The following is a 14,992-nucleotide window of genomic DNA, read 5'->3' on the forward strand; positions in this document are numbered from 1 at the left end:
AATAAAATAGTTTAGGCAAGATGCAGTGCTACTGTGCACAGGCGAATATTGGAGTATTTGAACTCAATATTGTCCAGATAAAAATGACTAAGAAATAATTCCCAAGTTTCTCTGAAAACCCTGGGCTCATTTCCTGAAGCAGTAGAAAAGAGATACCTAGAGATAGAGAAAAAAACCCTGAGGCTGGAACTTGGCAAGGAACTCAGGCTCAGTTTGACCTAATCTAAAAGAAAGACAGGACCTGAAAGGAGAGTAAAAACAAAATGTCAAGTTCACTTCGAAGTGAACAAAACAATAAAGCCACACAGTACATAAGGGAGGAAGAGTGTCATATCCTTTCAATTGCTTACTGCCTCCTCTTGTGAGTTACGCACACTCTCTACAAAAATAAGATGTCCTCGTGAGAATTGCTTTGTCAGTATTGTTACTTTTCTCAGGTCTACAAAGTTTTAAAAATATGTCTATCCATATTTTAGATAAATGTTTCAAACAAGTTTTACCTCCTCATGCATTAGAAATAAAAAAAAATAACTCTAGTGTTTTGTTGGCACTTGTGATTTATATGCGTGGCTTTGACGATCAAAAAATAGTGTAATGTACTTACATGTTACTTACTTTCTCCTATACACTCTGATGTTATCTGGCCATTCTCTAATTTAATACATCAGCACCGAAATATTGAGTCACGGCTGAATATATGTGGAAATACCAGAGTTTCTGGGTAGCAGTGAAGCAGGAAGAGGGTGTGGTGGTCAGATGCATTGGCTTTGGTGTCAGAATCTAACACTAGCTTGTGGACTTTGGCAGGTCACTAATTTCTTAGGGCCTCAGATTTTTCATCCATGAAATGGGGATTAAGCACAATACCATACACAAAGTTACTAGCACCGTGTCCAGCATGCAATATGTGTGTGATACATGTAAAATAGCTGTTAAGATCCCAGACTCTGTAGGCAGGCATCCTGGGTTCAGATCCCAACCAACTACTTACTAACTGGGTAAGTTACTTAACTTCTCCATGACTCTGTTCTTTCTTTCTTTATTTTATTATTATTTTTTTTGAGACAGAGTTTCACTCTTGTTGCCCAGGCTGGAGTACAATGGCACGATCTTGGCTCACTGCAACCTCCGCCTCCCGGGTTCAAGCAATTCTCCTGCCTCAGCCTCCCAAGTAGCTGGGATTACAGGCATGCACCACCACGCCTGGCTAATTTTGTATTTTAAGTAGAGATGGGGTTTCTCCATGTTGGCCAGGCTGGTCTCGAACTCCCAACCTCAGGTGATCCACCCGTCTCAGCCTCCCAAAGTGCTGGGATTACAGGCCTGAGCCACTGCACCAGGCCTGACTCTGTTCTTTCATCTGTAAACTGTGAATAATTATAGTACCTATCTCATAGGTTTGATGTGAAGATTTAAATAGTTAAAATAATAAAGCCCTGGCACACAGTAAGTGTTCAATAAGCATTAGCTATTATTATTCTAAAATTGTGCTGTCCAATGTGGTAGCCATATGTGGCTACTGAGCTTTTGAAATGTAGTTAGTCCTAACTTTGATGTGCTCCAAGTGTAGAATACACATCAAATTTAAATACTTAATATAAAAAAGAATGTAAAATATTTTAATAATTTTTATATCAATTATAGTTAAACATACTGAGTTAAATTACTATAATTAATTTTACTTGTTCCATTTTAATATAGCTACTAGAAAATTAAAAAGTACATGTGTGGCTTGCATTATATTTATATTGGACAGTGCTGTTTTTTAGAATTTAGAAATCTTAAAGCAAAAAGTTCATCAAAAAGAACCTTAGCTTTTGGTTTAGTTCAAAATGTAGGATATTCGTGGTACACTTTTTGTCATAAAATATTGAGGACAAGCAAGGGAATTACAAAGTAGTAAGTGAAGCCATTAGAACTGCCAAAGAAGTTAATACAATTTTAGGTTGCATTAATTTTTCCAGAACCCAGTGTTCTTTTCTCCTCTGGAGTGTTTTGTTCAGCTGTGGGATTACATTTTAAGAGAGACATAGGCATCTAGAGTATATCCTTCATAAATCTCCTAGTAAGATGAGAGGTTCTCATCACCACACCATGAAAGGGAGGAACTGTGAGTGGTTAAAAATAGGGACATATTCAGCCAAGTGAGGAGAAGACTTAAAGGGAGACATGATAGCTATTCTCAAACACCAGAAAAGTTGCCATGTGGAAATGGAATTGACGTGAATGGTTCATTTAGTCCAGGTTACAAGGACTATTTAAGCTTTCAATACATATAACAACTTTTTAACAATTAGAGTTGCCCCCAAATGGAATGAACTACCTTACAGAATATTCCAGACTGTATCACCAGAAATTTAAACAGAGAATTATAGGGAGGTAGGTAGATGAAGACTTCCAAAAGCTTTTCAAACTCTGAGATTCCATGATTAAGGTTTTGCCACTAATTCTGGAATAGAGCTGCCAATACAGCATTAAAATCAGAATAACTAGAGTCCCACAGTTTTAATTAGTTTTTTTTAAAGAAGATATAGAAATTCACTGGTGCTAGCTCAAGAAAACAGGGATATTGTAGACATATATATGGTAGATAGGGATCTCACAAGAATGCAGGGAAAGGGATAGAGATACAGCAGGCTTGTTGGAAACTTTAACAGGAACTGAGGCAGCATTTGCTATCTTTCTCTCATAGGCTGCTTGATTTCTTTCTTTCTTGCGGTATCTCTGCTTTTCTTGCCATCCTTATTCCCTTATATTATTGCAACTCACTGGCTTCCTGTAACTTCACTCACTCGTCATTTCTGTTCCCTAATAGTTTCAGATTGCCTTTCAAGGCCGTTCTAGCATGGAATTTATTCTATGACCCTGGAGCTTGAATTTTCCCACCTGAGTGTTTCAGTCTTTCATTTTCCCAACTTTGGTTTTGTGAGAGGAATAATTGATCTAGTTTTTCTTTTCAAGGCAGGTCACTGGCCATGTATGGGTGGGCTTTCCTTGGGTCAGATGGCTTCCACTGATCCAAATATCCTGGGCTGGGGAATTTTATTTATGTGAGAGGAGGCAGTTTCTACCAGAAGCAGATGTGGGTGGGGCAGGAAGCTAATGGTATTTTTAGTATCTCTATTGAAAGACGCTGAAAGATGGAGGCAATGGAGTTTACTCCCAGAAATTTGTGAATCTACTTAAACTTATTCTATTCCCTGTATTAGAAGGAGCCTATTTAAAAGGTTCTGGTTTGGGATTAATGATAGGTATGTGAGTTTTGCTCTCAAATATGCTCTAGGACCTTGCTACTCAAAGGGTGGTCTGCGAACCAGCAGCATCAACATCACTGTTAGGAGCCTGTTAGAAATCAGAGGCCGGGCGTGGTGGCTCATGCCTGTAATCCCAGCACTTTGGGAGGCCGAGGCGGGTGGATTGCCTGAGGTCAGGAGTTCGAGACCAGCCTGGCCAACATTGTGAAACCCCATCTCTACTAACAATACAAAAATTAGCCGGGCGTAGTGGCAGGCGCCTGTAATCCCAGCTCCTTGGGCGGCTGAGGCAGGAGAATCACTTGAACCCGGGAGGTGGAGGTTACAGTGAGCCAAGATCACGCCACTGCACTCCAGCCTGGGGGACAAGAGAGAGACTTCGTCTCAAAAAAAGAAAAAAAAGAAATCAGAATCTCAAGCCCCATCCTAGGCCTACCAAATCAGAATCTACATTTTAATAAGATTTCCAGGTGATTTGAATTCACATTAAAGTTTAATTATGGCTCTAGGATGAATTGGTTTGGTTTAGGCCTCCTAAAAATTACTGAAGACTTGCACTTGAAATCTTCTAGTAGTATGTTGTAGCTATGCAAGAACCAATTGATAAATTGTCAGAAATTTTGAGTTGGTTGATTTTATGTTTGGTGGCTTGAAGTCACCTACTTGTGGGAGTATTTACACCATGGAAATTGACAAATGGTACAAATTCATTTCTTTTATACTGGAGAACCAGTTGTTAAACTTTTACCAACACACCACTGGACAGTTCTAAATCTCCTAAATCAATCTACTATTAAACAAATCTCCTGGGGGCTTTTGGACATAAAAACTGTCACGTGTGGGGGACAAGACAAAATGAGTTCCAGTCTGCCACTTACTGAACTTTCAGCCTTGTGACTAAAAAAACATTTTCCTAGATAGACATTTCTTCATGGGAAAAAAAGATCTGATTCCGAAGTAAGCACAAGGGGGAAAGGGAATCTAGGAGTTGGTAATACTTAAGACCCAGATAGGCAGACAGACAGGCATTGGAAATTTTCTCAGCTGGCAGGTGGACAGTTTGGAGTTGAAACCCAGGCATAGAATAGCAGTTTGTATGTAGAGAGGAAGAAAATAAGACTGGGTAGATTCTGGTTCTGGAGACATATCCCATGAGGAACGTTTATAGTCTATATTATATTGACCATAAAAATTTTAAACAAAACAACAGCTCCTCCCCAAGTTAACATTGGGTATAAATGCAAATATTTCATGGTATTACATAGGGAGTAGTTTTGAAAGTACGGTCACTGGGCCAGTAAATCAGTATCTCCTGAGAATTTATTATACTCACAGGCCCCATCTCAGACCTACTGGATCAGAAGCTCTGGGGGTGGGGCCCAGCAACCTGAGTTTAACAAGCCTTCTGAGTGATTCTGATGCACATTACTGAAATAGGAAATGTCTTGGAGTTCCTTATTTTTGTCTAATAAGAGAATCCATTTTCTTTTTTCTTTTTATTTTGAGATGGAGTTTCACTCTTGTTGCCCAGGCTGGAGTGCAATGGCGCGATCTTGGCTCACGGCAACCTCTGCCCCCTGGGTTCAAGCGATTCTCCTGCCTCAGCCTCCCATGTAGCTGGGATTACAGTCATGCACCACCACGCCTGGCTAATTTTGTATTTTTTTAGTAGAGACAGGGTTTCTCCATGTCGGTCAGGCTAGTCCCGAACTCCTGACGTCAGGTGATCCACCCGCCTCGGCCTACCAAATGCTGGGATTACAGGCGTGAGCCACCACGCCCGGCCGAGAATCCATTTTCAACTTGAACCCCAAAGGGAAGTGACACTTCTTGCAAAGAAGTTTCCAACTCAACTGGAAGATGGCTGAAGAAGGCAGAGAACACAGATCAAGTAAGTTACAGGGCTAGACAAATATTTATTAGCTTTTCCCAGGGAAATTAGCCAAGCAGGCTGGCAGCTGGCATTTTGCCAAGACTCCTGGAAAGTATAAATCTTCCTAGAAATCAAAAGTTGCATTTTAAAGTGAATTTTAAGTCCATAATACAGTCTAAAGACCTTCTGCAAATACATATAAAAGTTCTAATATAAAGAAAGTGACATCCTTATACATGTGGGAATAACAACAGCATGGATCATGTTAAGAAATAAGCAGATATTGGAAGAAGGAGTACTAGAACAGCTTATTCATTTTGCCTTTCTGGTTCAGAGCTCTCACTGGTTCTTTAATAATGACACTTAATATTTTTTGAGTGCTTACTCTGTGCCAAGTACTTCAGTAAGCACCTCAGTAAATTATTTTATTATTAGCCCCATATCAGGGAAACCAAGGCCCAGAGAGGTATATAAATTTGCCCCAGGTCACACAACTACTAAGTGATAATACTGGAATTCAAACCTAGGCAGTTTGGCTCCAGGGCACAGCTGCTTAACCAAAATGCTCTATTACAAGCTTATCCAACCCACAGCCTGCCAGCCACATGCAGCCCAGTATGACTTTGAATGCGGCCCAACACAAATTTGTAAACTTTCTTAAAACATTATGAGATTTTTTGATGATTTTTTTTTTAAGTTCATCAGCTATCATTAGTGTATTTTATGTGTGGTCTAAAAGATTGGATATTCCTGCTCTATTACCTCTTTTTAGTGAGAAGAAACTCATTATGTACTAAATATTTACAGTCTTGGAGTTCCCATTTCAGAGTATGGATTTTTGTAGTTTTTATAAAGTCCTTTTGTTGTTTTTATAAAGTCTCAGGCTAAGGCCGGGAGCGGTGGCTCACGCCTGTAATCCCGGCACTCTGGGAGGCCGAGGCGGGTGGATCACGAGGTCAGGAGACTGAGACCATCCTGGCTAACACGGTGAAACCCCGTCTCTACTAAAAATATAAAAAATTAGCCGTGCATGGTGGTGGGCGCCTGTAGTCCCAGCTACTCGGGAGGCTGAAGCAGGAGAATGGCGTGAACCTGGGAGGCGGAGCTTGCAGTGAGCCCGAGATCACACCACTGCACCCCAGCCTGGGCGAAAGAGTGAGACTTCGTCTCAAAAAAATAAAAATAAAGTCTCAGGCTAAGGAATCTCTTTATGTATTGTTATATACAAAACTGGAATCTGGATCCTACCTAATGCCATCGAGTTCTGGTGACCAGAGTGGGCAACAGGTAAGCTGTACCTGTACAGGACATTACTTTAATTAGGCTACCACTATAAGCATACTATATGGTATGTAAGCATACTATATGGTAATAGTTTCAATATAGGATGTTTAAACTCTCTTGTTAGAACAGTAGACATAAAAAAGTCCATAAATGGGGCCTGCCGTGTTGGTTCACACCTGTAATCCCAGCACTTTGGGATTGCTTGAAGCCAGGAGTTTGAGACCAGCCTGGGCAAAAAAGAAAGACACCCCACACTCCCCGCTGTCTATAAAGAAAAATAAAAATAAGTTAGCCAGGTGTGGTGGTGTGTGCCTGTAGTCCCAGCCCCTTGGGAGGCTGAGACATGAGGATCACTTGAGCCCAGCAGGTGAAGGCTGCAATGAGCTATGATCTTGTCACTGCACTCCAGCTTGGGTGTCAGAGTGAGATCCTGTCTTGAGAGGGGGAAAAAAAAGTCCACAGATGGGGGCCAACTGACCCCAGCTGTGGACTGTGGAAAGGAAACAGATATAGGGTCTAAGGACCAGCACCTCTAATCTGAGTGTTTGTTTTTCTCTGAAATTGACTGGGTAAACTTGCTCCAATTCTGGTACTTACTCTCAAATTGAATTAGTTTTTTTCATTTATGCATAGCCAAGTACACTGCTTGACACATGGCAGGCACTCATATATTTGTGAAAAGAAGGGAGGATGAGAGGGAGCGAGGGAGAGAAGGAAAAGTTTACAAAGATAGATTTAAGTTCTTCGATTTTTTTGCATAAGTCACAAATTGTTATAGAATCTTTGAAGTAACTGCTTAGGTGTTAACAAGACAAGGCAATACATTAGAAATCTTATTTTTTCATGTAGATGAGTACTATGTATAAATATGAATAAAGCATCTGGGAAATGCCTTTGATCCAGTTCATCTGCCTGTGGGCAGCTTCATTGAAGCAAGTTAATTTTGCAGGCTTGCCATTCTAATTGAGTCACTAATTCATGTATGCATATATTCATTTATTCAGCAAACATTTACTGAGAGCCTCCTATGGGCCTGGCACTGAAGTATGTGCTGAGGTTACAAAAATGAGTAAGATGGTTTCTACCCATAAAAAGCTCAGACTGGTGACAAGAACTGATATATTGTGGTGATGGCTGCACAACTCTTTGAGTACACTAAAAACCATTTAATTGTACAATTTAAATTGGTAGATTGTATGCTATGTAAATTATATCTCAAAACTGTTTAAAAGAAACACAGCCTGAGGCGAAATCTTTAAAAAGTTACCTAGGTGATGTAGGGTACGGTACACACGAAGCAGAGAAGATAGAATGAACCAAGTTATGGAGGTGAGAAACGTGTGTGTGTGTGTGTGTGTGTGTGTGTGTGTGTGTGTGTTGTGGGGGAGGTAAGCTGGGAAGTGATAAAATCCGTAATCAGATTTGTTTTAGATAAACCACACCGACAGCTGTGACGTAATGGAAAGTACACTCATTCTGTTTTGTTTTTGTTTTTTTTTCCTATCAGAATAACTTGTGCGTGGGTCTTGGAGCTGCCATTTTAAAACTAGAAATGTTTTATAAATGTCAAGTATTATTATTCAATTGATCCTAATGGTAAGTCTACTCGCTTGCCAGCAGGGGGTAAATGTAGAGATTAATTTAAGATTTTAAAGCTAAGGTTGATCTTGCGCTGACAGAAAGTTTGACAATTAGCAAAAAAAGTTTGTCAGTGAGTTGGACACCTCCCTCGGGTAGCGGCGAAAACGCCTAGAGAATTTTTAAAATAAGTCTTTCCAAGGCCGGAAAAGTGGCGGAGGAAGCTAGTGGGTTTCAGGGTTCCTGTTTTTCAAGATTTTACGTTGGGTATTAAGTACTCTCACAGCCTGTTAAAATTGTCGCTCTGAGTACACTTGCAGGATCAAAAAAGAAAAAGAATAAGAAGGAAGGATTAAAATAATCACAGCATCGCCAACAGGATCGTATTTTCCCGAAGGTGGTTAACCAGCCATACCGGAACCACGAAACACACAGGGTCCTGGGCAACACGGAGGACTAACAGTAACACCGCCACGCCGGCAGCAAAGCTCATTTTGGTCCCCGCCCCGTTCCTCTTTCTCTTTTTAACTCCTTCCCTCTTTGCGGATTCTAGAACGGAACCTTTTTTTAATTCTTCCCAGTAGAAACGTAGGAACAATTTCGTGAACGCAATCCGGAGTGCCCAACATGGCGGCGGCCGTAAGGTGCATGGGTAGAGGTAAGGCGAGGGGTTGTCTTGCAGGGGAAATGGCTCTGGCACCGAGTCTCTGGTTGCAGCAGAGTGCAAGGCGGATTCTGCTCTGGGTGCTGAAAATGCCTCGTGCTGTTTCTGGTCTCTAGGTTTTTCAGAGGGTGGGTCATTACTACTTAAAAGTGACCTTATGAAGGGTTTCACTCCATTCTGGAGACGTCCACCCTGAGGGAGGGAGTGGGAGCGGGACGTACATCGAGCGCCCTCCAGCCACCTATGGGCATGGCAAGGACTGGGTCGTCTCTGATACTGGGGTGTGGGCTGCGGGTAGTGGAGTGTGATAAGTGAGGTGAGTTCTGATAAGGGAAAGATGATGTATTTGAGTGGCTTAAGTCTGTAAATTAGAGCAATTTTCAAAGTGCTTTTTGGTGCTTTCGGAATTACTTCGTTATAGGCGATTCCAGTTCTTAAACTTCCATAGGTGGTCTAATTTGGATCAACGTTTATCATTTGAGGGGGCTAATTCTGTAGTACCTCTTGGTAGCGCCTCTTTTCATCTTAATAATTTCAACTTTTTGTCTACGATGACAGCCCTTTCTTGTGCAACAATTTTTTTTTTTTTTTTTTTTTGAGACGGCAGTCTCGCTCTGCCACCCAGGCTGGGAGTGCTGTGGTGCGATCTCAGCTCACTGCAACCTCCGTCTCCCAGGTTCAAGCGATTCTCCTGCCTCGGCCTCCCGAGTAGCAGAGACTACAGGCGTGTGCCACCATGCCTGGCTAATTTTTGTATTTGTAGTAGAGACAGGGTTTCACCATGTTGACCAGGCTAGTCTTGCACTCCTAATCGCAGGTGATCCGCCCTCCTCGGCCTCTCAAAGTGCTGGGATTACAGGCGTGAGGCACTGCGCCCGGCCTGTGCAACGCTTTTTGCTTTTATTTTGTGTTTTTGAAGTCCAGTGATATATATTGTTTAATTTAGGTAGGTCTTTAGGTAGAAGCAGTAGCCAGCATTACCCCCATTTTACAGAGGAAGAAACTGAACTTATTAGATATGTGGCCAAGTTCATATAACTAGTAAATGGCAGAGGAAGTACTGAAGCTTGCAATCCTAGGTCAGTGATACATGTATATTTAACACTGCATCACAGTTTTTTTTTTTTTTTTTTTGAGTTTCTTTTTAGGAAAACTGTGTCAAGAGAGTTATTGCTCAAAAATTAGGGGTGACAAGAGATAACAACAGACCCTGATGCCTACTTTGTGAGCAAACCAAAATGTATATTATTTCTGAAAGGAGGTTGAAGGCATCTTCATGTATGACAGAAATCGTTATGTTACACAAATCCAAAGAAACCAAAAATACCTGAATATTATAATTTTCTTGTCACATTTTCTTCTCTTGGCTTCTAGGATATCTCTCTGTTAATTGTCTTCCTATTTCATGTGTCATTTTTTCTCACATTACTTGGCTGGTTCCTCTTCCTCTCCCCAGCCTCTTTACTTTGGAGTGTTCTGGAAGCCAGGGTTCCATCCTTCATTCTCATCTCTTCTGTATCTAAATTCACTCCTTGGTTAGCTCATCCAAAGTTTGTGGCTTTGATTATTGTCTATCTTTTTTATTTTTTTAATTGTTTACTTATCAGGAGAAACTTTCACATTTCATAGTTCAAGAACACAGGTCAGTGACAAACTTTTAGGTAATTCAACCCAAAGAAATTCTTTATATTGCAAAATCACTTTGTGCTCTGAAATATACGTTTTCCTCATCTCCTCAAAATCTTTTATGGAATCATCATTTCTGTAGGAGTCGACACATGCCTTCTTTCTTGGCTCAGCCACCGCGAACATAGCGAAAACCCCCAGGGATACAATGAATGCTTCAACAATATGAAATTGCAAATGTTTTGCCAGAAGGCCCCACATCGGAGGTTCATTAAAGCACTGGAAGCCACGGTAGCTACTGTTCTTTTTAGGTATTAGCCTCAATACCAGCATTCTTCCTGGCTGTTGGAGAAATGGATGGCCAATTATTGTGTATATCTTTTTTTTTTTTTTTTTTGAGAAGGAATCTTGCTCTGTCACCCAGGCTGGAGTGCAGTGGCACGATCTTGGCTCATGCAACCTCTGCCTCCCGGGTTCAAGCAATTCTTGTGCCTCAGCCTCCCAAGTAGCTGGGATTACAGGCGCGTGCCACCATGCCCGGCTAATTTTTGTATTTTTAGTAGAGGTGGGGTTTCACCATGTTGGCCAGGCTGGTCTCGAACTCCTGATCTCAAGTGATCCACTCACCTCTGCCTCCCAAAGTGCTGGGATTACAGGCATGAGCCACCATGCCCAGCCGATTATTGTCTATACCTTAATGGTTATCAAATTTATATCTACAGTTGGGATCACTCTTCTGAACTTTAGATTCTTATACTCATCTGAGTATTCTACATCTCCACTTTGATAGCATATCAGCACCTTGCAGTTGTTTAAAATCAAATTCATTGTCATAGCCTGCAGTCTTTTTCTTCTCATTTGAAGGCAATTCCATCCTTCATTTGTCCAGGCCAAAACCTCAGAATATCCTTGACTCTTTTTTTTTTTTGAGACAGGATCTCACTGTGTTGGCCAGGCTAGAGTGCAGTGGCCCGGTCACGGCTCACTGCAGCCTTGACCTCTGGGGCCCACTATGACCAGCTAATTTTTTTTTTGGTAGAGATGAGATCTCACTGTGTTGCCCAGGCTGCTCTCGAGCTCCTGGGCTCAAGTGATCCTTCCACTTCAGTCTCCTGAAGTGCTGGCAGTACAGGCTCTGAGCCACTGCACCTGGCTGACTCCTCTCTGTATCTCACACTTTACATTAAATAGTTTGCAAATCCTGTTGGCTTTACGCTTAAAATAAATCCAGACTCTGACTTCTCACTGCCCCACTGCAGCTACCTTGTTCCCACCTGCTACCATCTCTCACTTGGATTTCTCTACAGTCTACTGTCAATGAGTAGTGAAATTCATCCTTTAAGGACCTCAGTCATGTTACTCCTGTGCTCAGAACTCTGCAAAGCCTTTCCATTTTTCTAAATCCAAAGCCCTTAGAATGGCCTACAGTTGTGCTATTCATTTTGTTAGCCACTATTTATTGAGCACTTCAAATTGGTTAATCTGAATTGAATTTGTCAAATATACATTAGATTTTGAGGGCTTAGCATAAAAAAAAACATGTAAAATACTTTTTTCTGAGATGGAGTCTTGCTCTGTTGTCCAGGCTAGAGTGCAGTGGCATGATCTCGGCTCACTGTAACCTGTGCCTCCCAGGTTCAAGTGATTCTGTAGTCTCAGCCTCCCGAGGAGCTGGGATTACAGGCACATGCCACTGGGTCCGGGTAATGTTTGTATTTTCAGTAGAGACGAGGTTTTGCCCTGTTGACCAGGTTGGTCTTGAACTCCTGACCTCAGGTGATCCACCCGCCTCAGCATCCCATACTGCTGGGATTACAGGCGTGAGCCACCACACCCAGCCCAATTTTTTTACATTGATAATTTAATAATACTTTGGGGTATTAGTGATAAAATATTAACTTACTGTTTCTTTTTACCTTATATATTGTAGTTATTAGAAAATTTTAAATTGTACATGTGGCTTACATTATTCTTCTGTTGAGTAGCACTGGTGTACAAGTCTTCGATATCACCTTGTGCCTACCTTCTCCTACCCCCGCCTCACCCAGCTGACCTCTCTGACCTCTTCTCCATCTATCCTCCCTCACACTCACTCTGCTGTAACCAGCTGGCCTTCTAGTTTCTTAAACACATTAAGAACACTCTTGCCTTAGAATCTTTGCCCTAGAACAGTTTCTTGGTGTTTGCGTGGCTAACTTTCCCATATCTTTTCAACTCTTTGCTGAAATATCACCCCCCTTTTTTTTTTTTTTTGAGACAGAGTTTCGCTCTTGTTGCCCAGGCTGGAGTGCAATGGCGCGATCTCGGCTCACTGCAACCTCCGCCTCCTGGGTTCAGACGATTCTCCTGCCTCAGCCTCCTGAATAGCTGGGATTACAGGCGCCTGTCACAACGGCCAGCTAATTTTTGTATTTTTAGTAGAGATGGGGTTTCAACATGTTGGCCAGGCTGGTCTCGACCTCCTGACCTCGTGATCCTCCCACCTCGGCCTCCCAAAGTGCTGGGATTACAGGCATGAGCCACCATGCCTGGCCTCAAATGTCACCCTTTTAATGAGGCTTGTCTTAACCACTATACTTAAAATTGCAAACCACTTTCCACTGATACAATCCCTTTTATCCTGCAGTGCCTCCATCCCCCAATTATTTTTATTGGTATTGTCTTCCCCCTCTAGACATAAGCCCTATGAGGATAGGGATTTTTATGTTTTATTCACTGATGTACCTAAATGCTTCCAGCAGTGCTAGCACATGTTTCATTGGCGTATTTGTTGAATGAATGAATGAATAAATGGATCATCAGAAAAATGGCCCCTTTCATGTGCTGTAATGCATAATATTTGAGTCCAATTTTTGCTCTCATTTGTTCAAATTTTCTTCATTCAACAAATGTTTATTTAGAGTCTTCACTTGACAAACACTGTGCTAGGTGCTAGGTATACAATGCTGAACAAGCTATATACATTTCCTGCCCATGATGCTTACCATCTATTGAGGAGCAGGAATTAATTGGATAATTCTTTTCTTTTTCTTTTTCTTTTTCTTTTCTTTTCTTTCAAGAGACGGGGTCTCACTATGTTGCCCAAGCTGGTCTTGAACTCCTGGGCTCAAATTATCCTCCCACCTCAGTCTTCTGAAGTGCTGGCATTATAGGCATGAGCGATCAACCCGCCTTGGCTTCCCAGTGTTGGGATTACATGCGTGAACCACTACACCCAGCCTTGGATAGTTATTTCTTTTTTTTTTTTTTTTTTTTTTTTTTTTTAGACGGAGTCTTGCTCTGTCGACCAGGCTAGAGGGCAGTGGCACGATCTCGGCTCACTGCCAGCTCTGCCTTCCGGGTTCACGCCGTTCTCCTGCTTCAGCCTCCCGAGTAGCTGAGACTATAGGCGCCCGCCACCATGCCTGGCTAATTTTTTGTATTTTTAGTAGAGACGGGGTTTCACCGTGTTAGCCAGGATGGTCTTGATCTCCTGACCTCGTGATCCGCCCACCTCAGCCCCCCAAAGTGCTGGGATTACAGACATGAGCCACCGCGCCTGGCCAGTTATTTCTTTTTTTTTTCCTTTTGAGATGGAGTCTCACTCTGTTGCCTAGGCTGGAGTGCAGTGGCACGATCTTGGCCCACTGCAACCTCTGCTTCCCAGCTTCAAGTGATTTTCCTGCTTCAGCCTCCTGAGTAGCTGGGACTACAGGCACGTGTCACCATGCCCAGCTAACTTTTGTGTGTATATTTTGTTTTTTTTTCTGTGATGGACTCTTCCTCTGTTGCCTAGGCTGGAGTGCAGTGGCTCAATCTTGGCTCACTGCAACCTCTGACTCTGGGGTTCAAGCAGTTCCTGCCTCAGCCTCCCGAGTAGCTGGGATTACAGGAGCATGCCACCACACCCGGCTAATTTTTTTTGTATTTTTAGTAGAGACGGGGTTTTACCATGTTGGCCAGGCTGGTCTTGAACTCCTTATCTTGTGATCCACCCTCCTCAACCTCCCAAAGTGCTGGGATTACCGGCATGAGCCACCACGCCCGACCTGGATAATTATTTCTTTAGTTAAAATTGTCCTAAGTGCTGTGAAGGAAAAGTGTAAGATGTTATACAAATGTATATGAGAGACCTAATCTATTCAGGGGAGACTCTTCTGAAGAAATAATGTTAAGTAGAGTCCTTGAAAGATAACTGTATTACTATGAACTAGTGGAGTGGAAAGCAATAGGGGAAAATGTCATAGATGGAAGATTATGAAAATTCTTAGGTGGTAAAGAACAGAGTCAAGTAACTGAAAGAAGATGAGTGTATTTGTAGCATGGTGAACATGAGGGAGAGTGGGGCTAGAGGATGCTCACTGGATAGTTTAGTAGTAGCTCGTGGAGTACCTTGGTAAAAATTTCCTTTGTTCAAAGAGCCAAGTTTAGCCATCCAAGTATTTTAAGGACATGGTGAAATTTTCATTTTAAAATGATCCCTCTTACTAATATAGGTGGAAAAGAAATGGAGAGGGCCAAGTGTAGAAGACAGAACAGTTTAGAGGCTGTGGCAGTAATCCAGGTGGTAGGTGATGGTAGCCTGGACTGTGATGGTTGTAGCAGAAAGGCAAGAATAGATGGATACGATTCCCTAGGGAGAGTGAGGATTATAGAGTCAGGTGAGAAGGCAGTATAGGACTGACCTCAAGGGAACTCTAACCTTTCACTATCAATTAAAAGAGATAAGAAAGG

The 14,992-nt window shown here is 42.0% G+C and overlaps 1 protein-coding gene across 3 annotated transcripts in view, besides 3 other annotated features; it reads left to right on the forward strand.

The window, feature by feature from the left end:
- Positions 6,586–6,801: a silencer, noted in NCBI's record as "fragment chr4:78781972-78782187 (GRCh37/hg19 assembly coordinates)". NCBI's record gives its function as "represses an EF-1alpha promoter that drives an FKBP-Casp9 reporter gene in an ReSE screen in K562 erythroleukemia cells {active_cell/tissue: K562}" and the evidence as "EXISTENCE:reporter gene assay evidence [ECO:0000049][PMID:32094911]".
- Positions 8,286–8,685: an enhancer, noted in NCBI's record as "active region_21641". NCBI's record gives its function as "activates an Ori minimal core promoter by ATAC-STARR-seq in GM12878 lymphoblastoid cells {active_cell/tissue: GM12878}" and the evidence as "EXISTENCE:reporter gene assay evidence [ECO:0000049][PMID:35858748]".
- MRPL1 (mitochondrial ribosomal protein L1) overlaps positions 8,598–14,992 on the forward strand; it is an 89,956-nt gene continuing 83,561 nt past the window's right edge. For 2 of the 3 annotated variants that reach the window (NM_020236.4, XM_047416090.1), the window contains exon 1: positions 8,598–8,647. In NM_020236.4, coding sequence (NP_064621.3) covers positions 8,617–8,647 — 31 coding nt within the window. In that variant the 5' untranslated portion in view covers positions 8,598–8,616. Of the gene's footprint in view, positions 8,782–14,992 lie in introns of all 3 variants that reach the window. The other variant, XM_047416089.1, reaches the window with a different exon arrangement.
- Positions 9,046–9,145: an enhancer, noted in NCBI's record as "active region_21642". NCBI's record gives its function as "activates an Ori minimal core promoter by ATAC-STARR-seq in GM12878 lymphoblastoid cells {active_cell/tissue: GM12878}" and the evidence as "EXISTENCE:reporter gene assay evidence [ECO:0000049][PMID:35858748]".

Source organism: Homo sapiens, chromosome 4 (genome assembly GCF_000001405.40).
Source record: "Homo sapiens chromosome 4, GRCh38.p14 Primary Assembly".
Lineage (NCBI taxonomy): Eukaryota > Metazoa > Chordata > Mammalia > Primates > Hominidae > Homo > Homo sapiens.